The sequence below is a fragment of the Homo sapiens genome, chromosome 3 (genome assembly GCF_000001405.40).
Source record: "Homo sapiens chromosome 3, GRCh38.p14 Primary Assembly".
NCBI classification, from domain to species: Eukaryota; Metazoa; Chordata; class Mammalia; order Primates; family Hominidae; genus Homo; species Homo sapiens.
Window position 1 is genome coordinate 38,354,402 of NC_000003.12, and position 24,133 is coordinate 38,378,534.

At 48.1% G+C, this 24,133-nt stretch overlaps 1 protein-coding gene across 19 annotated transcripts in view, besides 1 other annotated feature; it reads left to right on the forward strand.

The window, feature by feature from the left end:
- The window catches only part of XYLB (xylulokinase), a 106,257-nt gene that overhangs the window by 7,617 nt on the left and 74,507 nt on the right, over nucleotides 1-24,133 (forward strand). For 10 of the 19 annotated variants that reach the window (XM_011534327.3, XM_011534329.3, NM_001349178.2 and 7 more), the window contains exons 3-14: nucleotides 5,938-6,007; nucleotides 8,536-8,616; nucleotides 10,798-10,884; nucleotides 11,207-11,335; nucleotides 12,407-12,472; nucleotides 13,784-13,856; nucleotides 15,655-15,773; nucleotides 18,254-18,335; nucleotides 20,061-20,101; nucleotides 20,743-20,858; nucleotides 21,716-21,831; nucleotides 22,517-22,590. In XM_011534327.3, the coding sequence (XP_011532629.1) occupies nucleotides 5,938-6,007; nucleotides 8,536-8,616; nucleotides 10,798-10,884; nucleotides 11,207-11,335; nucleotides 12,407-12,472; nucleotides 13,784-13,856; nucleotides 15,655-15,773; nucleotides 18,254-18,335; nucleotides 20,061-20,101; nucleotides 20,743-20,858; nucleotides 21,716-21,831; nucleotides 22,517-22,590 (1,054 nt within the window). Of the gene's footprint in view, nucleotides 1-1,340; nucleotides 2,758-5,937; nucleotides 6,008-8,535; nucleotides 8,617-10,797; nucleotides 10,885-11,206; nucleotides 11,336-12,406; nucleotides 12,473-13,783; nucleotides 13,857-15,654; nucleotides 15,774-18,001; nucleotides 18,143-18,253; nucleotides 18,336-20,060; nucleotides 20,102-20,742; nucleotides 20,859-21,715; nucleotides 21,866-22,516; nucleotides 22,591-24,133 lie in introns of those variants that run through there. The other 9 variants (XR_001740394.3, XR_001740393.3, NM_001349179.2 and 6 more) reach the window with 7 other exon arrangements.
- Nucleotides 19,569-20,070: an enhancer, noted in NCBI's record as "H3K4me1 hESC enhancer chr3:38415461-38415962 (GRCh37/hg19 assembly coordinates)". NCBI's record gives its function as "activates a minimal SCP1, AML or CMV promoter by ChIP-STARR-seq in primed H9 embryonic stem cells {active_cell/tissue: H9 hESC(primed)}" and the evidence as "EXISTENCE:reporter gene assay evidence [ECO:0000049][PMID:30033119]".

Consider the following 24,133-nt stretch of genomic DNA (forward strand, 5'->3'; position numbering starts at 1 on the left):
CCTCTGTTTGTTTTTTTTTCCAGAGTTTCCATGGCTATTCTTGTTCTTTTTCAATATGTACTTCAGAATCAGCTTTTCAGGTTCCAGAAAGCCAAATTGTTAATTTTTTTTTTTTTTTGGACATGGAGTCTAGCTCTGGAGCCCAGGTTGAAGTGCAGTGGTGTGTTCTCTGCTCACTGCAACCTCCACCTCCTGGGTTCAAGCAATTCTCCTGTCTCAGCCTCCCAAGTAGCTGGGACTACAGGCACATACCACTACACTTGGCTAATTTTTGAGTTTTTAGTGGAGACAGGGTTTCACCATAATTGGTCAGGCTGGTCTGGAACTCCTGACCTCAGGTGATCCACCCACCTCGGCCTCCCAGGGTGCTGGGATTACAGGCGTGAGCCACCACACCCAGCCTGTTGTTAATATTTTTATTGAGATCATATTATCTTTATAAATTAACTTGGCAGAATTGACAACTTTATGAGATTAAGTCTTCCTGTCTAAGCACACGTTATGACTTTCCATTTGTTCAAGTCTTCTTTTGAATACTTCACATGTGTTTTAATATGTTTAACATACAGCTTTTGCTCACTTTGGTAGATTGCACAAATGACCACAATACTCCACCCATCCCTGTACCCACACCCTTTGCAATGTGACTGTAATTCCTCCCATCAAGGAGTCGTTTCCCTACCTGTTGATTTGCTTTATCCAGTAGAACAGGGGAAGTGGCATTGTGCCAGTTCTAAGCCTAAGCCTCAAGCAGCCTTATGTGCTTCTGCTGTCATTCTTGGAACTCTGCCTAGCCACCAAATGAACAAGCTCAGGCTATACTGCTGGAGAGTTGGACATATGTGGCCTAGTTGCCCCAACTTCTTCCCCTAAGAGCCAGCCAGCCCCTAGCTACTGTTAGCTACCTATGAAGCAGAGCCTTCTAGCTACCGTTAACTGACTGCAGATGTATGAGTGAGCCCAGCTGAGCCCCATCCAATGATAGCAAGTAGAATTGTGAGCTTAATGGTTTTGAGCCACTAAGTTTTGAAGTGGTTTGTGACAATGCAGAAATTACCCAATGTAGATAATTATTTTTAAGTTTATTTCTAACTTTTTTATCCTTTTACTACTGTAAGTGGGGAAGGGAGGTTTCTAGCAGAAACTTATCAGCTGTCTTCCAAACTCATTTCCCTTTCTTCCTAGGCACTCTCCTGCCTTCCTTGTAGTTATGTTCAGCCATGTGACTGAGTTCTAGCCAGTGGAATATAAGAAAATGTGATCAGGCCTCTAAAAGACCTAGTCCATCAAAACCTCCTTCTCTGACTTTTCTCCCATTTTTGGCTGATGTGGGTGTCCAGAGCAACCTTGGAAGCACATGTGGAACATGACAGAGCCACCATCAACCTGGTTCCTGAATGACTGCATGGAGCAGAACTCCCCACTCCCCACTCATGTTCCTAACCACCTACTGATTGTGCTTTACATGAGGAGAAAGAAACTTCAGCTGTATCAAGCCATAGAAATGTGTTTTTCCTTAACTAATATAATTTTTTCCCTCATATCCTTTTTTTAAAGAAAATACTGGGGCCAGGTGTGGTCGCTCACGCCTGTAATCCCAGCACTTTGGGATTACAGAGGCGGGCACATCACGAGGTCAGGAGATCGAGACCATCCTGGCTAATGCAGTGAAACCCCGTCTCTACTAAAAATACAAAAATTTAGCCAGGCTTGGTGCCGGGCGCCTGTAGTCCCAGCTACTCGGGAGGCTGAGGCAGGAGAATGGCGTGAACCTGGGAGGCAGAGTTTGTAGTGAGCCGAGATAATGCCACTGCACTCCAGCCTGGGTGACAGAGCAAGACTCTGTCTCAAAAAAAAAAAAAAAAGAAAGAGAAAATACTGTTTCTATTGAAATGTAATTCACATACCATAAAATTCACCTTTTAAAATGTACAATTTGATGGTTTTAGTATATTCAAAGAACAATATCACTATCACCACTATGTAATCTTAGAACATTTTCACCACCTGGAAAGGAAACCCTGTATTAATTAGCATCCACTGTATAGTCCCCCTCCTGCCAGTAGTGGCAACCACAATCAACTCTCTATCTCTGGATTTGCTGATTCTGGACATTTCGTAGACATGAATATATATAATATGTGACAGCCTTCTTTTACTTAGCATAATGCTTTCTTTTTAAAAAATTTTCATAGCTTTTTGTTTATTTCAAATACCAACTTGAACCAGATACCTGGCATAATGTTTTCAAAGTTCATCCATGTCATAGCGTGTGTCAGTACTTCATTCCTTTTTGTGGTTCAGTAATATTCCATTGCATTGATATATCAGAGTTTGTTTTTCCATTCAACTTTTAGACATTTGAGTTGTTCTGCTTTTTTGCTATTGTGAGTTATTCTGCTATGAACATCCACATATGTTATGGATTGAATTGTGGCCCCCCAGAATTCATATGTTGGAAGCCTACCCTCATCATGACAGTATATTTGGAGGTGAGGCCTTTAGGTAGATAATTAAGGTTAAATGAGGTTGTAAGGGTGGGGCTCTAATTTGATAGGACCTGTTTCCTTATAAGAAGGAGAGACACCAGTGCTATCCCACTTCATGCGCAGATGCACAGAGGAAAGGCCTTGTGAGAAGGCGGCTGTCTGCAAGCTGGAAAGAGAGCCCTAACCAGAAACTGAATTTGCTGGCACCTTAATTGTGGACTTCTAGCCTCCAGAACTGTGAGAAAATAAATGCCTGTTGTTTAAACCATCTAGTTTATGGTATTTTGTTATAGCAACCTGAGCAAACTAATACAATGTATACGTTTTTGTGTGGACATATATTTTCATTTCTATTGGGTATATTACCTAAAATTGGAATTGCGGGGTCACATGGTAACTCTGTGTTCAACATTTTGAAGAATTGCCAAACTGTTTTCCAAAGTGGCTGTACTATTTTCCATTCCCACCAGTGGTAGATGGTGCCTCTAGTTTCTCTACATCCTTTTTTTTTTTTGAGATGGAGTCTTGCTCTGTCACCCAGGCTGGAGTGCAGTGGCGTGATCTCGGCTCACTGCAAGCTCCACCTCCTGGGTTCATGCCATTCTCCTGTCTCAGCCTCCCTAGTAGCTGGAACTACAGGCACCCGCCACCACGCCTGGCTAATTTTTTGTATTTTTAGTAGAGATGGGGTTTCACCGTGTTAGCCAGGATGGTCTCGATCTCCTGACCTTGTGATCCGCCCGCCTCGGCCTCCCAAAGTGCTGGGATTACAGGCGTGAGCCACCGCATCCTTGCTTAACATTTATTATTGACTGTCTTTTTAATTACAGACGGCAGCCATCCTAGTGGATGTGAAATGCAATCTCACTGTGCTTTTGATTTGCATTTATCTAATGATAATAATGATGTTGAGTATCTTTGCCATTTGTGTATCTTCTTTAGAGAAATGTCTATTAAGATCTTTTGCCCTTTTTTAAAAAAAAACTGTGTTATTTCTCTTTTATTATTGAGTTGTAAAAGTTTTTTTTAATGTATATTCTGGAAACAAGTCCCTTGTTAGATATGTGATCTCAAAATTTTTGTCCCATTCTGTGGGTTGTCTTTTCACTTTCTTGATGATCCTTTGAAGCAATGTTTTTAATTTTGATAAAGTCTAATCTTCCTACTTTTTTCCTTTTGCTATTTGTGCTTTGGTGCAGTATTGGTTAGGTTTTGGTATCAATTTTATATTTACTTCACTAAAATAATTGGAAAAATTTTCCTTCTTTTCAGGTGCTCTAGAACAATTTAAATAGTATTAGAAATATTTGCTATTTAAAAGTTTGGTATAATTTTTCTGTCAAACCATTTGGGCCTGGTGCTTTTGGGGCATGGGGTGGCTCTGGTCTTCCTTCTTAGCTGGAAATGCCAGTTTTGTTTTGTGTGTGTGTGTGTGTGTGTGTGTGTGTGTGTGTGTGTGTGTGTGTGTTTGAGACAGAGCCTTGCTCTGTTGCACCCAGGCTGGAGTGCAGTGGCAAGATCTCAGCTCATTGCATCCTCCGCCTCCTGGGTTCAAACAATTCTCCCACCTTAGTCTCCCAAGTAGCTGGGATTACAGGTGCCCTCCACCATGCCTGGCTAATTTTTGTATTTTTGTAGAGATGGGGTTTCACCATATTGGCCAGGTTGGTCTTGAACTCCCGACTTCAGGTGATCTGCCTGCCTTGGCCTCCCAAAGCACTGGGATTATAGGTATGAGCCACCGTGCCCAGCCGAAATGCCAGTTTTAAGTTGTTAAATACATGGCAGAATGTCTGGTTACAGTTTTTATCTGTTTTGTGAAGGCAACATTTTTTGGTGAGCTTTTATTGTCTGTAGTAAAATTTTGTTGCTCTCTTCCTCTTTTTCCCTAGTAGTATCTTTTTAAAAAATCCATATTATTGAGTATAATTTATGTACAAAAAATGCCATCCATTAAAAATGTATAATTAAAGGTACTTTGCCAGATATAGACCTATAGCTGTGAAACTACCACCACAATCAAGATACAGAATGTTTATATCACCCCCCAAAAGATCGCTTTTTTCCCTGCTTACCGAGACAAGCTCGGTTGTGGAGACTCCAACGCACCAGCACTAGAGGAATGAAGACAAAGACCCAGAAATAAAGTGCAGTGTGGGAATCGGCTAAAAGCCTTTAGAGCTGAGAGCCACAAACAGAGTTTTGCCCACATATTTATTGACAGTAAGCCTGTGATAAACATTGTTTCTAAAGATTATAGATTAGCTGAAAGCATTTCTTATGGGAAACAAAGCATTCTTTTCAAGAAGCAGAGAAACAGGCTGTGGCTGATTATCTGCAGCAGGAACATGTCCGTAAGGCACAGATCGCTTATGCCATTGTTTGTGGTTTAGGAATGCCTTGAGTGGTTTTCCGCCCTGGATGGGCCAGGTGTTCCTTGCCCTCATTCCGGTAAACCAGCAACCTCCAGTGTGAGTGTCATAGCCATCGGGAACATGTCACATTGCTGCAGAAATCCTGTTTATGGCCAGTTTCTTTAAGGCCTGTTTATGACAGGCTTAGGGCCTGTTCCCAGCACCCACTAGACTTAGACAACCACTGATCTCCTTTTCTCAGTATAGATGAATTTGCGTCTTCTAGTCTGTTCCTATATAAGTTATAATTGTGTACATATGAATAGTTCATATTTTTTCTTGCTCTGTAGTATGATATCACAAATATACACCACGATTTATCTGTTCACTTGTTTAGGGACACTGGGTTGACTCCAGTTAATTATTACAAATAAGTCTGCTATGAATATTTGTGTACAAATCTTTCTATGGGCTTAGACTTTCATTTCTCTTGGCTGGATACTTAGGAATTGAATGGCTAGATCACATGGTTATCTAATAGCATCTTGGTGTGGATTCTGAGCCTGGTTTTCTCTTTCCTAACACATAGTTAAAAGGGTTGGATTTTATCAGATCAGCTCTTTGCACTAGAGTCTTCTAGGGGTGAGGTGGGTGGGGAGAGGGTTCCAGTCAAACTTCCAAAGCCTGTAGTCCAAGGACTTGTTGGTCTGTTGTGATAGTAGAGACACTCTTCCCTCCGACGCAGCATCTCTGTGTGGCTGCCCCTCCTCTACCTCTCCAAACCTATGGGGCTTGAGAGGGATTTTATAATCCAACACTGCACTCCCCTAGGGTGAGCCTTTCTTATCTAGAAGGCTTCTTTAGAAGATGCTTCTGAGAATTGCCACATCTGGGCCACTCTGGGCAATTTGCCTGTCTTCTCTTTCCATCTTTGCAGCCCTCGTGCCTGTTCAATCAACAGTTCCCACTTGGGGTTGGGGAAGGTTCTCCTTCATCTGGACATTTCCAGAGTCATCCACCATAGGGTTTCTCCTGGCTTTGCAATGGTCTGCCTGCCCTGAGGCTCTGGTCTACATTCTCTGTTGTTCTTGCAGGACTCAGGGTGGTGTTCATGTGCACAAGGATGGGCTGACGGTCACTTCTCCAGTACTAATGTGGGTCCAGGTAAGCGCAGGGATTCCTATTCTCCTTCTATCCCCAGGCTGTCTCACTGGCAGACTCGGTGATTTGCTAGGAAGTCCAAAGGTGGCAGCCAATGAGAGCATCTGTTGTCACCAGGTCCTCATGGGAAGGTGGAGTTGGCATGACTCCTGGGATCAGGCTCAGCCTCAGCTGGTGTCAACACTCCCAGGCTCAGAGGACTTACAAAAAACTTCCAGGTACTGGAGCTACAGCAGATGGCAAGTCCTGCCATTAACCACCTTTAAAATAACACAGAGCAAATCTTTTCCAAACATCTGCAGTCAGGCCCTGTGGCCTCCCTTGTACCATGAAATATACAAACATAGACTGGGCATGGTGGCTCATGCCTGTAATCCCAGCACTTTGGGAGGCCGAGGCAGGTGGATCACCTGAGGTCAGGGGTTCAAGACCAGCCTGGCCAACATGGTGAAACCTTGTCTCTACTAAAAATACAAAAAATTAGCCGGGCGTGGTGGCCCATGCTTGTAATCCCAGCTACTCAGGAGGCTGAGGTAGGAGAATCACTTGAACTTGGGAGGTGGAGGTTGCAGTGAGCTGAGACTGCACCATTGCACTCCAGCCTGGATAACAAGAGTGAAACTCCATCTCAAAAAAAAAGAAAAAAAAGAAATACAAACATAGCCCTTAGGGTCTTAGTGCTCAGCCTCCAAGATCCCTTAGCTCCCTAATCACCTAGAATGGCAAGTTATGGCCTGGCCAGTCAGACTCATATCAATGCCAAGCCAGGCCTGCCTGCTGAGGATCAACAGGAAAGGAGAATGCCTGTAGCAGGATCTGGTGACCTAGGGGGCCACAGGAGCAGGGATGTGGACAGCATAGACAGGCGTGGTAGCTCCAGGGGCTACCTCATCATATGCTGCAGGGTCCCCGAGTCCCTGAAACTGGAGGCCAGCTAAGTGTGTGTCTTCCAAAAGCTTTTTTCAGTCCTCCAATACCTATCTAACCAATTCCCTATATTACATTCTTTTTGTTCAAAATAACTGGTATGATTTCTTTTTTATTGGTGTAACCCTGATTCATACACTGGAGAATTGGGGTAAAGGATGGATTTTATCCAGATAAACTGGCTAGAATGTACTTCAGAGGGGGCTGAGCCAGACCAAGGGGCAGAGTGGGAGGGTCGGGGGTTAGAGACAATGGTCAGTGTCAGGAGGTCCCAGTGATGATGTCGAGGGCATCTCATAGGCCAAGGCCTTCACCTGGGGAGGTGAGCAGTGGGTGAGAACCAGGCTTGGGGGCAGGGCCAAGGTGATTTCTGATCTGACGCAGCCTCCAGGACCAAACTTGATCCTAGCTCTGCCAGCCCCTGCTCCGGCTGCACCCCACTGCCTGCCCAAGGTTTGATGGGCACAGATAGAGATGGCAGCCACAGCCAGGGCTGAAAGAAGCCCTCCCAGCAAAGGCTGGGGGTGGTGGAGTCAGGCAAAAGTGAGAGAGTCTTCTCTGCCCTCAGGAAAACACAGGTCAGAGTGAATCTCTAATTCCTGCCATGAAATCTTAGGAGGGTGGTGCCAAGCTCTGCTGGGCACCACCATCCATCCCACTCACTGGGTTTTGCTAGAAAGGAGGGTCCAACCAGACAGTGGAGGCTGGAATAGGGGCCTGGAACAGGTGGCCATCATCTCTATCCACTCCCTCCAGCCTCTGGCTCCTGGACACAGGGAGTCTGGGCCTGATGCTTTGCTCTCACGGGAGCTCTCTCCTTTGCTCTTCACTTCCCTGTTGCAGTGAAGTCAGATCACTAATATAGAGGGTTGAAAATGCAAATAAAAGAAGGCAAAAGTTGGCTGCCTTACTTTGTTAGTTTTTGAGACAAGGTCTCACTGTGTTGCCCAGGCTGGAGTGCAGTGGTGTGATCATGGCTCACTATAGCCTCAATCTCCTGGGCTCAGGTATCCTCCCTCCTCAGCCTCCTGAGTAGCTGGGATTACAGGCTCATGCCACCACACCCAGCTAAATTTTTCATTTTTTGTAGAGATGGGATCTCATTATGTTGCCCACACTGGTCTTGAACTCCTGAGCTCAAGTGATCCTCCTGCCTTGGCCTCCAAAAGTGCTGGGATTACAGGTGTGAGGTGATGGCATGCACCCGTAGTTCCAGCCACTTGGGAGGCTGAGATGGAAGGATCACTTGGGCCTGGGAGGTTGAGGCTGCAGTGAGCTGAGATTGCGCCACTCCATTTCAGTCTGGGAACCAGAGCGAGACCCTGTCTCGAAGAAAAAAAAATGGAGAAGTAAAATTTGAGGATTGGTGGTTTATGATTCCATTTATTTAAAATATTTTTAGCATAGTTGACCTTTTTATTTGATTGATGCCTACTTGTTTAATTAATGTACTCTAGTGCTTACAAATCCCAAGTCATGAGTTTCTTCATCATCTGCCCAGAGTACTCTGCTGTAATGGCAGGCACTTGCGTTTCAATTCTGAGGCTTGCGTGTCTGATTCAGTGGTTCTGTACAGTCATGGTGGGTTCTGTTTTTCTTCTTAGGCACTGGATATCATCTTGGAGAAGATGAAGGCTTCGGGCTTCGACTTCTCTCAAGTCCTAGCCTTGTCCGGGGCGGGCCAGGTTCGTTTGCAGCAGACTCTGTCTGCCATGTGAGGGTGACTGTCCTGGGCAATGGTGTGGGTGTTGAAGAGATGGCAACCCTTGGATGGGGAGCGGCTCATTCTTGACAGCCACTGCACAAATTTCACTGTGAATAAAAATCCCTACAACTATTTTACTTTGGAGACTGTATAACTTGTCTCGTTGCAAAAGGATCTGAGACAGTTCTTAGGAGTAAGTATTATATAAAATAGGACGCTTGGTGAGAGAACTGAGTTCCTCTGAAGGGGATGGAGGAAGCAATTGACATGAATTTATTATGACTGCTTGGGGGCACCACAATTGCTTTTCTATTTCCTGAAAGTAAAAGCAAAGTCAAAAATGATCCTAATAATGATAGTAGTTTCAGTAGAAGGAAGAGTATTAATAATGATATCAGAGGACATTGACTGAGCACTTAGTGCATGCCAGATACAACTCTGAGGCCTTTCCAGATGTCATCCAACTTAATCCTTATGATTCTACAGGGTGGTGCTGTGGAGTGCTTGGTACACACTCAGGGCATACTGTCTGGGTTTGATCCCTGGCTCTGCCATTTACAGGCAGTGACCTGGGATACGTCATCTGGCTTTCTGGTGCCCCCGTATTCTCATCTGTCATAGGGTCATTGTGAGTGTAAGTACATAGCACAGTGCCTCCTATTAATACGCAGTAAACATTATTAAAGCTTGGGCTTCTGTTATTATCGTTGATATTTACATGAGGCACGGAGAGGTGATGTCACTTACCCAAGATCACACAGTGCTGGGAGTGGGAGTCAGGACCTGAGTCTATCTCATTCAGTCCCTTGGCTGTGCTGGGATCACTTTTCTCCATGCTGGATTACTGTATTTTCAAATCCTCACTAGGATGTAACTAATTTTTCTGAAGATGCTTCTTCCTCCATGACCTAACAGGAATTTATTGTTTTGGTTCTTGTTAAACACAACAGAGATTCCCTGGGTGATCTTGTCCACTTCTCTCTCCCGAATCCCAGGCCTGGACACCCATCTCCCTCCTAGCTAATCCCCGACCCCCATGGCTGGATATCCCACAGATGCCTCAGACTTAGCATGTCCCAGACTGAGTTCTGTCTCCCTTCAGACCTCCTCCTTTCTGGGTTCTCTTTCTCAGGGAATTCTCCCCATCCACCCAGGGCACAACTCAAGTGTCATCCCTGCCTCCTCCACCTTCCCACCCCACATCCAAGGGTCCTCACGTCCCACTGATTTGTCTGTGACTCTTGACTCTACCATCTCTTCTCCAGCGCTATCTGCTTGTCATTCTTCTCCAGGTCTCTACCGCAGCCTCCTTGCCTCCAGCCTACCTTCCCCGTGACTCCCACAAGCCTTTAATACATTCAGCTCTGTGCACGCTGCTCCCCCTGGTAATCCAGGGTTCCTACCACCTCCAAGATAAACCCCAGCCTCCTGAGCATGGTTTCAGGCTCAGTGCTCAGGCTGTCCCCTCTCTCTTCAGCCCATCACCCACCCCCGACCCAGCCTCAGGCCCACTGCTTAGAATGCCACTCATCCCGGGACTTGCCTGGCGCCCCTCACCTGCAGATTCTCTGCATGCAACACACACTAGGACCATTTCCTGATACTCATGACCACTTCCTCTCATCTGTACCCGAGTTGGTTAGGTGCCTCTGTTCCCACGACCCTGTCACTGCAGCTCCATAGGGTTTTATAGTTGTACATTTGTGTCCTTTTCCCTGACTCAACTCCAGTAGCCTGAAGAATAGGGATGAAAGTATCCTATTCATCTGTCGCAAGCCTGGCATGATCTATGTGCTTAATAAATGTTCATTGAATGAATGAATGAATGAATGAATGGGGTGAGTGAATAAATAAATGAATTTCAGGTAATATTACAAGCAATGTCTTTAAATGCAGTTTTACAAAAGGCATTAAAATCCAGACCAATAATTAGTTCTTGGACCTTTTCTATAAGTTGTAGGGTAGACAGGGCAGAGTTCCTCCCCATTTTCTTGAAGTGGAAACCAAGTCCCAGGAGGGTGATGAGCTCTGTGACTAAGAAGTGGCAGGGGCAGGTGTGGAGCCCAGTTCTTTGGCATGTGGTCTGGGGTCTTTCTGTGTCTTCAGGAGGCTGTGACACTGGTGTGTGGTCATGTGACCATGTGCTTGGGTTTCCCAACAGCAACACGGAAGTATATACTGGAAGGCTGGAGCCCAGCAGGCACTGACAAGCTTATCACCAGACCTCCGGCTACACCAGCAGCTGCAGGTAACTGTGGCTACGTTGTGTGAGTGTGAGAAACTTCTGCAGAGTCCCAAGTCCTGTGGGTCCTGAAGCCTGCTCATCTCAGTGTTGCAGCTGTGCTCACGCGCCCTCACCAGAAGAGCTTTCAACCTCAGGCTTTTGGGGAGAGACCCCACTGGGCCAGTTCTAAGTTACAGCACAAAGGGCTGGCCCATGTGTCTCCAACCAAGGTCACCTGGGAAGAAGCGTCATGACTGCCGTGATGGGCAGTGTGACCGCCAGCCCTGGGGCAGATCTCCAAGTCAGCGGATGGAGCTTAAGCCTGTGCCTTTGCCCTCCTTCCCAGGACTGTTTCTCCATCAGCGACTGCCCGGTGTGGATGGACTCCAGCACCACAGCCCAGTGCCGCCAGCTGGAGGCTGCTGTGGGTGGTGCTCAGGCTCTCAGCTGCCTCACGGGGTCCCGTGCCTATGAGGTAGGCTGAGGATGCGGGGGGTGCAGGGGGTGGTCTGGTTGCAAGCTCCGGAGGCATAGTGGGTGACCTGCCTCTGGGGGGATCACATGAGGTCATGGAGGTGTTGTGGAGCCAGCAACAGGCACTCTGGCCCCTGGGTCCTGATCCAGGCCACCTGCTGCCCTGTGTGTTCCCAGGCCAGGCTGGGTGTGCACATGGCTGTGCTCCTGACATGGAGGTGCTGTGCATGGGGGTGAGGGTACCCCCTCAATGAGAAGGCACCTCCTGTCATTATTTGTAACCCGGGGATTACAACAGGACTTACGTTTTGGGTAGGTTTGAAGCTGAAAGAAGTCAGTGCATGTAAGGCACTTAGTGTAGTGCCTGGCAATGTTAAAAAAAAAAAAAAAAGGAAAAAAAATAATAGTGTCTCTGTTCCACAGGTTCAACCTTGTCCCCAGGGGTGATTGTGATTAGGCCAGCTTGGGTTACATGACCTCGCTGGAGTAGAAGTTTTGGGGATAGGGCCAACTCTACTTGGGCCACCTGAAATAACAATATGTGGGTGGGGAAAATACCCCGATCCCTCACCTGGTGGCTTGGTCAGAACAGTCACCGTGCTGTGTGAAGAGCAAGGGTTATTCACTCAGGGTTGTCCAGTCCTGATGTGGGAGAGGCCCTCCAGGAAGGCCCAGAAGTTACTCACTTCTCTATCCTGTGGGTGCAGAGCCATTGTTTACTGCCTGAGTATTTGATTACTAAGGACATTTTAAGGATTCAAAGGCCAAGATCACATTGTTCAGTAGATATCAAACAGATTTAATGCTTATTTTTAAAATATTTAATTATTAGAAACGAGGTCTCACTGTGTTGCCCAGGCTGGACTCCTGGGCTCCAGAGTTCCTCTCGCTTCAGCCTCCTGAGTAGCTGGGATTACAAGCGCACACTACTGTGCCTGGTTGGGGCTTACTTTTAAAAGCTTTTATGGTACCTACTCCTATCCAGAGCATGCTACATTAAACTCACTTTGTGGAGGTAATTGTTCATTCTGTGTAGGATTTGGGTTCCTAAGAATTTATATTCCTTTTCCAGCGTTTTACAGGGAACCAAATTGCAAAAATTTACCAGCAGAACCCCGAGGCCTACTCACATACGGAGGTTGGTTAAATGTTCCTGTTTGATTGAAAGTCACAGTTGAATTCTTTTCATAATATGTTAGAATAGATACATCTTACGTGCAGTGACTGAAAACATTGATAAGCAGACATTAACAAATGATATATTTGATTTGCTTTTTTCTCATTGTCAGGACATTTCCAAAGAGGAGGGGAAGAATGGAATGTGGGAAAGAGAAGTCAGGGGTTCTCCTGACCAGAAGGGTGAGGGTGAGGGTCCAGGTGGGAGCACTGGGGACTGACGTGTTCCTGAGGCCACCTGAATGGAAGATCTGAGTGTCTGAGCAGGCTGTGTCTGCTCACTTTCCTATGTGGTTAACGCAGGAGGGCTACCAGGCACATGATTGGCATAGAGTCAGTGTTTTCTTTGGAAATGTATAGGACTGGGCATTTGTGTCCCCAGCTGTGGCCCTTCAGCCAGAGCCTCTGTCACAGGAACCCAGGTTCATTCCTGGCTCCACAGTTGCTGAAGCCAGCACTTGTTGCTGCCTGAGAAACAGCCCCACGCCCTGGCTAGTGATTTTCATCTTGTGATAAGGAAACGATCAGCTCACATTAAACCAAAGCACCTTTTTAATCTTAGAAATTAACATGTGGTTTATTATTTAATGATTTGAGGTTCCAGATTATTCTGCAGCATTAGCCATTAATGTAGGCTTTGGGTAGAGGGGTGAAAACCCTCCCTAAATTCTGTGTGTGGAACGAAGTTTGCCTGACAGAGGACAGGAGGTGATAACATTCTCTCCACAGTTCCAAAGGCCCATGATTCTCATGTGGAAGTACAGACCCTTAGGGTGGCATTGAAAATCCATCATCTATTTCTCTGGCTAGTGCTCAGGGTCTGTGGCTTCTGAGGAGCCAGCTTTCCTGACGCCCTGAGAGTGTCCTGGTTGGTTCTGAGGCCACACATCCACTTCCCTTGTAACCAGAAGGAAATGCCAAGGAGATAGAGGAAGGAAATCAGGGCACACATTCCCCAGCATGTGGATTCCGGATGGAAATGCAGCTTCCCTAAGCCCTTTCTCATAGGGCTTTTGGTTTTTGTCTCTTTTGAACTTGGCAGTTTTATGGCCCATCAGAAACTGTAGAGAATGAATGCTCTCCCGAGGAGTCTGCTCATGGTATTCCAGCTGCTCCTATCTGAGATGCACAGTCTCCACCATTACTTGGGCCTTTTGTTCAAAGTTTCCACTTCCCTCTCCAATTTTTTTTCATGCTTTGTGTGTGTCAGAAGCATTCAGTAGCGTAGGGTATGTGGAAGTGAGGCACCTCTCACTGTTTCTTTCCTTTACAGAGAATTTCTTTGGTCAGTAGCTTTGCTGCTTCCCTGTTCCTTGGCTCTTACTCCCCTATTGACTACAGTGATGGTGAGCCTCGGGGTATGGGGTGGGTGCCTGGGCAGTGTGCATGTGGCATGTGGGTGTGCAAGCAGTGGGAGCCCCACCTACCCCGAGTGGGTGCCAATCTTGTAGCCCTGTCATCTGTTGCCAGGAAGGAAGTGTATTCATTATCTTTTACCACATAACAAATGACCCCAACACTTAGCAGCTGAAGACCACCGTGTTTATTTTCTCACCTAGTGTCTGAGAGTCAGGAATGTGGGGGCAGCTTAGCTTGGAGGTACTGGTTCGGGATCTCCCACAAGGTGGCAGTCAAGCTGGCAGCCGGGGCTGCAGTCATCTGAAGGGTTGACTGGGGCTGGAGGATCCATTTCCAGCATCATGCACATGACTACAGGCAAGAGGCCTCAGTTCCTCACATGTGGCTGTTAGTGACACTGCAGAGAGGGAGGGAGGAGACAGAGGCCAAGCAGAAGCTGAGGAGTCTTTTATACCCTAATCTTGAAGTGATGTGCCATCACTTTTGTCTCATCTTACTGGTCACACACTAGGTACGGTTGACCCAGTATAATGTTGGGGAGAACCTCACAAGGGGTGAACACCAGGAGGTGGGGATCAGTAGGGGACGATCATGGAGCCTGGCTCCTGCAAGGAGCTATTAAAGTTTTTGTTTCACATTTGGTGAACTCATGAGATTTGTGAGCTTCTAGAATCAAAACCCCGAAAAAAATAAATTGCAGTTGATGCCAGTGAGGAGGGAAAGCTGGGAGGAGGTTGCTGCAGGAACTCTTGGATGAGCCTAAGTGTGAGAAGAGTGTGGACAGAATGGGGGTAGAGAATGCAGGGCAGGAGCCCAGAGCCGTGGATATGGCTTCAGAATGGAGCCTGGGATGCTCTGAGCCTCGTGGGAATTCATGGGAAGTTTTCGAGGGCTGTTGTATGCCAGGCTTTATTCTGGTTTCAGGAGAGAGAGTGACTAAGGAGTGCTGTTAAGCTTCCCTCACAATCTGGAGGAGGCAACAGGGTTCCCTACAGCTAGTTCTGTAGAACTCAGACAGGCAGAACAGTCAACTTGGAGTAGCCTGCATGTCCACCCGTTCTGCACACCTGCCACAGAGCTGATAACCGCAGCAGCTGTTCCGGGGGGCATTCCAGAGGTTTATGTTCCTTAGCCACAGCTGGGCCCTCCACTCTGCCCCCCTTCACTCACCTGAGATGTCACCTCCTCATTTCACCTGGGCAGGTGACACCATCAGCATCCCAGCCCACCTCTGTCTGCCTCCACCTTGGCCCAGTGGAGGAGGAGTTCTCTCCACCCATGCTCTGGGTTCCCTGTCCTTTCCCATCCTCAGGAAAGCCTTGGGAGAAGGAGGATGTTTTAGGAAAGAGCTAGTAGGTTGATCTCAGTGACCAGAAGGAAGTTTAGAGGACTCTGAGACCTTTCCTTGAAAAGTTAGATGAGATTGAGAAATCCCTGGGAGCTGACCTGGAAACCTAAGGGACATGGAGAGTGGTTCCTGGTCAGTGTGTTGCTGCTAGTTCCAGGCCCCCTGGGAGGTCTTTGAGCAGCAGATTTCCAAGCTAACTGTAGTGTTTGAGTTGATGAGGAATATTTGGAGGAGGTGTGGTGCCGTGTGTTTCCAAGGGCCCCTCTTGTCTCTGGTTCTCTGGTTCTAGAACAACACAAGCATATATACCTTCCATGAAGAAAGAGCTCCAGGTACAAGTTGTGGCAAGAGAATTATCTGCTCTGTGCCAGATTTGTGCATTTTCACAAAAGGTCCATTTTCAAGATTGTCTGTTGTTTGTTTCCTTCCTTCCTCAGGTTCTGGAATGAATTTGTTGCAGATACAGGATAAAGTCTGGTCCCAGGCTTGCCTTGGTGCCTGTGCACCTCATTTAGAGGAGAAGCTTAGCCCACCAGTACCATCATGCTCAGTTGTGGTAGGTCTCCTTTCTGGTGATGTGGCTCATTTAAGAGCTGGCAGCTACCAGGGAAGCACTGTAGCGCACACACACACACACACACACACACACTCTGCACACACCCTTATTTGTTCACTCACCCACAGGCATACACATGCAGGGTCTTCAGTTTAGCCTAAGATGTAAGTCAGTGTCTGGATCAGTGCCTTGCACACAGTAGGTGCTCAGGTACATGCCTTATGGTCAGCGGGACTTTGGAAAATTCCACTAGAAATTTATTAGAATAGGGATAAAAATGGCAGGTGATTGCATAGCTAAAGAAAAAGTGCACAGAGTGCTGAAATTCTAGGGACTACTGATGAAGCTTGAAGGAGGCAGCCTTGGGGAAAATAGAAATACCAGCGGGGCTGGCACAGCACAGGCCCTGGCACTGGACAGCATGGGACTGAATTCTGGTTCTATCAGCTTTGTGACTTTGTGTCTCGGTTTCCTCATCTGGAACAAGGGGAATGATGCTATTCATCTTACAGGGCTGTTGTGCAAATTAGATGAGTTAATACTTTTAAAGCACTTAAAAAATAGTGCCTGGTCCCACAGGTAATGGGAAAAACATTTACCCATCACAGCGGCCCCACCCATTTGCAGTGGACACTGGCTGTGAATGCCCTGGGGTGTTCTACTTGGCCAGCCCTGTTCTCCATTGTCCTGTGGGGACAGTGGAGTAGAGAGAGAGAGAAAAAGATCTGGGTGCTGCCCCTGGGGCCCTTTGGTGGGAAATGCTTACCACAGAGCCAGAACAACCAGAAGGAACTCTGGGTGGGACAGAGTGCTGGTGTGAAGAAGGGACAAGGGCACCCTGAGGCCTGGAGGGAGTCGTGTAACTGGGAATCTTGGGCCATGTGGAGGAGGGGCTGCTGTGAGGACTTCGCGTTGGGAGTCTCAGCCACAGAAGCACTTTTGTTTTCTTTTCAGAGACAGAGTCTCACCTTGTCACCCAAGTTGGAGTGCAGTGGCATGATCATAGCTACGGCAGCCACCAACTCCTGGGCTCAAGTGATCCTCCTGCCTCAGCTTCCTGAGTAGCTGGGACCATAGGCTTGCTCCACCATGCACAGCTAATTTTTTTTTTTTTTTGAGACAGAGTCTCGCTTTTGTCACCCAGGCTGGAGTGCAGTGGCGCAGTCTCGGCTCACTGCAAGCTCCGCCTCCTGGGTTCACGCCATTCTCCTGCCTCAGCCTCCCGAGTAGCTGGGACTATAGGTGCCCGCCACCACGCCTGGCTAATTTTTTTATATTTTTAGTAGAGACGGGGTTTCACCGTGTTAGCCAGGATGGTCTCGATCTCCTGACCTCGTGATCTGCCCGCCTCGGCCTTCCAAAGTGCTGGGATTACAGGCGTGAGCCACCGCACCCGGCCTAATTTTTTTTTATTTTGGTAGTGACAGGGTCTCACTATGTTGCTTAGATTGGGCAATTCTGCCTCAGTCTCCCAAAGTGCTGGAATTACAGGTGTGAACCACCGTGCTCGGCCGTTTTTCTTGTATGATTCACACTGACATGCTGAAAACAGCCTCTGCCACCATGAGGCAGAATGTCAAAGCCAAACCATCAGCATCCAAAGTATGCCATGAGGCCAGTGCATGGAGCTGAAGGAACAGCCATGTGGCCCTGTGGAAGCTGACAGCACAGCTTTCTGACCCGCTTTCTGACGCAGGTCAGAAAGGCAGAGAAAGGGCAGACAGAAAACAGCCAAGCCACCGGGACTGGTAATCCACACACGGCTTTTAGTTGGATGTGAAATTCAGAGCAGGCTTTGTTTGCCTTGTGCGAGAACACATGCCTCCAAGAAGGAGCCTGTGCAGACAAGCAGCTTGAGGATCGGGAAAGAACTGACTCTGAAAAGGCATTTTCATTTGTCACGTAGGTGTCACATGTGGGGGAACCACTCAAGACCCATGTTTTTCGTCATCCCTCTTTTTGCAGGTAGTGCTCAGATAGCCCTCCCTGCACTCTGTCTTTTTTGGATTACTTTCCTTAGAACATTGCTCTCTGCACGTTCACGTCCAATTATTGTTAATCCAGTCACTGGGGTGATAGAGTGAGTGTGTGAGGCATTATCTGCTCCCATGAGTTTGCTTACTGGTGTCCTGTTACCTTTTTTTTTTTAATGCTATATCCAGAATTTGGAGCTTATAAAGCAAGCACAAGTTAGGGGTTGGTTTGTTCTCTCTATCTTAAATCTCAAGATCAGCAGTTTTTGAAATGACCTCATGCTCGTGGTTTCCAAACCTGCACTGGACTTCTCTGGCGATTTGTGAACAGGAGGGACATGCCCAGTTTGTGACAGGAAGTGATGTGACTCCAGGCTCTGCAAAAGATTCCTTCAGGTCTGGTGACCTGGAGACTGTAGCGTTTTCGTGGCCTGAAGGGTGGGTGGCTGTGCTGGGCAGGCGGGATTTACCTCAACAGAGCACCTTTGCTTTGTCCCCGTCCCTCAGGGAGCCATTTCTTCCTACTACGTCCAGCGCTACGGATTTCCTCCAGGATGCAAAGTGGTGGCCTTCACTGGGGACAACCCAGGTGAGTATCTCGGGGAGTTTCACTCTCCAGTGAGCCTGACTGGGTCCATGCTGGATGTTTGAGAATTCCAGTCCAGCCTCTTGGTGAAACCTTCTGTGGTCATTCCTCACCACCCCCACCCATGCTGGATGTTTGAGAATTCCAGTCCAGCCTCTTGGTGAAGCCTTCTGTGGTCATTCCTCACCACTCCCACCCTGCGATCTGACTCCTTGTACCTGCCCCATCTTAGCTCCGACTCTGCCCTCAGGAGCTGGTCAGTCTGCTCTCTCTGGATGAAAACTGCCCAATGATTATGGAAGGCAGTCGTGCCCACCCCATCCCTAACCTGTCTTTTCTGTTTCAAGATGAATAGCTCAATTCCTCCAACCCTTCCTCTAGGACATGGTTTTAAGTCTCTGCCCTGTCATCTGATCTGCAGCAATGACTTGTTTCTCGTCCAGACACCTCATCTCCTTCCCTAGCCTCTTCTCTTCCTCCTCCTCTCCTCTGGGTAGCCCTGAAGCCACTCCTGGAGGGGCCCTTGGATCTCTGAAGGAAGGCCAGGTGGGCTACACTGAATAACAACCTAACTACTACCCCTCAACCTCACCCCCACCCCAGGAAAAGTAAGTCTTTTTCTAACGATCCACCAGATTAGGGTTACATTTAACAGTAACTAGAAAGGTTAATTTTAACCTTAATCAGAAAGATTAATTTCTGTCCTTTCAGTCTTCTTTCTGTGCTCATAAATAAGCATTGTTTCTTTTAATCAACCTGGGCAGTATCTTTCTCATTTTAACAGTTGTCTAGAGCTCAGTTGTCCCAGCATTTATTTCACTGGTCCCTGATGGATGGAGGGTGGTGTTGCTTCAGTGTTTGGGCAGTGCAGACGATGTTGAGATTCACATTCGGTCTCGTCTCTTTGTTGTTATAGGATAAGTTCTCAAAGGTGGGATTCCTAGATCCAAGGCTTCTGACACACACACTGCTGATTGAACCTCAGTGGCAGTGTTTGAGTGCACCTGTTCCTCACTCCCATTTCACCTTTATTCACATGTTGATTCACTCAGCATTTAGTGAGTGCCTATTATGTGCCAGGCCTTCCTTCAGTGCTGGGGCCCTTCAGCAATCAAGGCAGATAAAGATTGCTGTTGTGAGCCATGTGTGGTAGTGTGCACCTGTAGTCTTAGCTACTTGGGAGGCTGAGGTGGGAGGATTGCGTGATCCCGGAGTTCTAGGCTGCCGTGAGCTATGATCATGCCACTGCACTCCAGCCTGGGTGACAGAGTGAGACCCCACCTATATATCTCTTAAAAAAAAAAAAGATTGCTGTTGTGGGCTTTGTGTCTAAGGCAGGGCACAGAGAGTGAACATAACCTCACCCCCTTCTTTTCCATTACTGCCTTTGTCTTTCTTTGCTGTATATCCTTGGTGTCTTGTCTTGGCCTCCTTGATTCTCTGCACTCTCGGAAGTGCCTGACAGTGGAGGGATGTTTGGACCCCTTCAGGGAAGAGACTTCACAGCTCAAATCAGCGGCCCTGCTAACAGAGACTTCACCCCGTGACCCCTATGACCTTCTCCTCTTAGGGCCTCCTGAGCGCTCAGCTCCCCTGCTCCTGCCTCCACCCTAGGGTGTGGGTGGGGGTTGGAGGTGGGGGCTCTGCGCCTGCCTGGAGAGCCCTGTGGTTTGCTTTGTGGTTCCCATGTGGCCGCCAGCTAACCAGAAGCTCCCCTCCCATTCTCAGCGTCGCTGGCAGGCATGAGACTGGAGGAAGGTGACATTGCGGTAAGGCGACTTCCCACACCCATAGGCTCTTTCTGTTTCCACACTCACACCCACACTCTGATAAGTAGCAGAGGTGCTGCTGAGACCCAGATCCCAGGGTCCCAGGGTCTGGGTCCCAGCAGGATCTCTGCTACTTATCAGAGTGTCTGCCGGTTCCAAAAGACAGTGGAGGGAGGGGATGGGGGCGCACATCTTTCTCAGAAAGTCATTGTTCTTTGCTAGATGGGCAGGACCCCTGCCTGCTTCACAGTGGCCAGTCTTAGTGCATGCAGTGGCAGAGGGTCAGATGTGGGGCCAAAGGGCTGTGAGCAGCGCAGATGAATAAGGAAGACATAACCCAGACATTCCTACTTCTAGTGGGAAAGTCATATGGGGAACCAGCCATCACCCAAACCATTATTTAGATGCAGTTGTGGGAAATCAGCACAGAAGATCCATGAGATCTGCATCTGGGGAGCTAACTCCTGGCTCATCTGGTATGGGAGGGTCAGAAGTGGCTCTTAGAAAGTGGCCTTGCATCTGAGGTCTGCAGCATGAGTGAAGTGACAGGGTTAAGGTGGGTGGAGTACAGCGCGTCGCTGGCAGAGGGCAGCGTGTGTGGGCAAAGCCCAAGGTGCCCACCTCTGCCTATCTCTCCTCAGGTCAGCCTGGGCACCAGTGACACCCTGTTTCTCTGGCTCCAAGAGCCCATGCCTGCCCTGGAAGGCCACATCTTCTGCAACCCGGTTGACTCCCAGCACTACATGGCACTCCTGTGGTGAGCTTGGGTGTTGGTTGGCACCATTCCCTGGGTGAGGAGGTGTGGGCAGGTCTGGCACCATCTTGAGGACCCCAAGTCATTCCACTAAGCTCTGGAATGACTCCCTCCACTTTCCCGGGCTCTGCTGGGCAACTGAGACCCCCAAGGACTCACCAGCTCTTGCTGACAGCAGAGCTGGGTGGGGAATAACCCAAGACCCTGTGTCCTTCAAGCCCAGGTTCAAATTCTATCCTCACCAGCTATATCCTGTGTGACCTTGGGCAAACTCTGTAGTGTGGCATGTCTGAGCCACACTTTCCTCATGAGATGGGGAGGGTAAGAGCATTTACCTCACATTGTTACTGTGACCCGTCTGGCATGTGGTGGACCCTCAGCAAATGGCGGGAAGGACATCCTGCCTCCCGACGGCTCTCATGGAAGGGACATGCTCTGTGCTCTGACCACAGGCCTTTGGAGACCTGTCCAAAGCTCCTGAGGGAAATGGTTTCTGAGCTCCTAAGCCCTAAGAACCATTGGAGAATGTGGCTAGTTAATCTAGCCCTCCCTGCCTCATTGTGCCCATGGTAGAATGTGCAGAAACCCAAGCTCCCTGTCTCTACCTGGGGCTCCTCTGTGTCAGCCTCCTGTGTAAACAGCCCAAGACAAGGGCGTTTCCGGCACCTCCCAGGGACATTCAGGGGCCTGAATCTGAGGAAGAGCCTCCGATACCTAAGTTTCAAAGCCTGCTGTGCACTGACTAGGGGTCGTGGTCCAGCCTGACCTGCAGTTCCTCTGCCTGAGTCTCTTCACTGAAACTCATGGGTCCAGTCAGCAAGCACCAGCTCCCTCCCTCAGAGCTATGCCCTCTTCTGCAGCTTTAAAAATGGCTCCCTCATGAGAGAGAAGATCCGCAACGAGTCTGTATCCCGTTCCTGGAGCGATTTCTCTAAGGCACTGCAGTCCACAGAGATGGGCAACGGTGGAAACCTGGGTAGGCCAGTTGGTGGTGCCCAGGCCTGTGAAGGGTCAGCAGCTGCCGACTGGAGGGGCAGAGCCTGGGGCCCCATGAGCTGGGGGAGAGGAGGGCCGTGGAGAAGTCCAGGGGAGTCCTGTCTGTCTGCACTTATATTCCACACATCCTACAAGCTGGTGTGGAACCCTGTGTTCTGAGCAAGGGTGGGGCTGTAAGGCTGTCCTTGGCTTCTGCTCTGAGCAGAACATCAGGCCATAGCTATGTCTTCTGTCCCCACCAAGCCCCTGGTGACAGCATCAGAGAGGGCAGCCTCTACCCTGGTGCATCCCCGTTCACAGCCTCTGCCCCAGGCACAAGGAAAAGTCCCCAGTGTCTGGGCAGGCCTGAGCAGGGAGGGTCTGTGCCTCCCTTGGTCAAACCTGTTTTGATATTTTAGGATTGGCTGGGCAGCTGCTTCCTATTCCAGGCTGCCAAGTGAGAGCAGGAAGAGTTGTCTTTGAGAAAAGCTAGCTCAGGGCTCCCTGGTTCCCTTCTATCCTGTTGGAGAGAAGGAACTGAGAATATTCACAGGTCTCATCTGGGGGATGAAAGAGCCAGGGGACCCAGGGATATGGGGTCATTTTGTCCTGTTCTAAGTCTGTTAAGAAGCTGATCTTTTGTTTTTTGACTAATGACGGCTGATCTCTTCCTGGTTTTATTTCAGGTTTTTATTTTGATGTAATGGAGATCACCCCTGAAATTATTGGACGTCATAGGTTTAACACAGAAAACCACAAGGTACATGTGCTGTTGGTGTTGGAGTTACATTGGCTCCATTTGTGAGTGTAAAATTTAACAATTGCCTATCAAATTATGTTACTTTTAGGGACTTCATTCATTCACTCATCCATTAATATCATACACACTTGTGGTGTGCCAGGGTGCATTCTAGATCCTGGGGAATCTGCAGGACCTAAGACAGACACGGTCCTTTCCCTCAGGGAGGAATGCAGAAAACCTGAGAGTTCTCTTCCTATTTAACAAATGCTAACACTATCATTGTGTATCACAGAACTTATTTCCTTGGCGAGTTTTATCCTATACCCATCAAGAACCCATGGATCTTGAGATCATGAATTTCCTCCTGGTTGAAAGAGCTGCTGAGCCCAGGAGGTACTAACGTTTATTGAGCCCATTTGGTGCCAGGCATTGTGCTCATGGTTTTCTATACCTTCCTCATTTACTTTTCTTTTTTTTTTTTTTTAATTTTTTGAGATGGAGTCTCACTCTGTTGCCCAGGCTTGAGTGCAGCGGGACGATCTCGGCTCACTGCAACCCCCACCTCGTGGGTTCAAACGATCCTCCTGCCTCAGCCTCCTGAGTAGCTGGGATTATAGATGCAAGCCACCACACCTGGCTAATTTTTGTATTTTTAGTAGATAGGGGTTTCTCCATGTTGGCCAGGCTGGTCTCGAACTCCTAACCTCAAGTGATACGCCCCCTCCCAAAATGCTGGGATTACAGGTTTGAGCCACCATGCCCGGCTATCATTTACTTTTCAAAGCAATAGGCACTATTGTTCCTCTTTCTAGATGGAGAGGTTGAGACTCAGAGGCTCAGGCTAAATAATCTGCCCAGAGTCACAAGGTCATAGATGGTGGAGGGGGCTCAAACCCATTCCTCTCTGGCTCTGAAGCTGCTGTTTTCTTTCTCCTCCACAATGTGACCTTTCTCGGGAAGGATTTAGTTGGTTCTTGCTCCTCAAAATTGACATTGCTGCTGGAGAGTCACTGGAGAGTCATCACCACATTTTGGGTTGTACCTGAGAGATGTTTCTGACCCCAGTAAATGGGGGGTTTATGTAAGACACTCTGTCTGGAAACTGTAACTGTCAGAGTTGGCGTTGGATTCAGTGGCAGATGATGGCACTACATGTTGGATTATGAATGGAAAGCTTTGTATAAAGTAGGAAGTTCATCTCAATCTTCTGATGGAGGATCAGTTTGGTTTCTTTTGTTAGAGTGAGAAGCTATGCCTGTTCTCTTTCATGCATATCAATCCTAGATTTGTCAAGGAGAAAGTAGTGTTCTTCATTCATTCATTCAACCAGCAGATATGTATGATTGGTGCCAGGCACCGGGGACACAAAGGAGAACAAAACATTGGTGGCCCTTGCTCCCCAGAGCCTGCTGTCTAGGAGGGAGAGGGACAGTAGACGACTGAATGAGCATGTACATGAATGCAGCAGGTGCTAAGGCTAGGTTGCAGAAGAACAGAGTGCCGCAAAGGAAAGCAGCTGGTGGGCGGGTTGGAGACTTACCCTGGGTGGGGTGATCAAGCC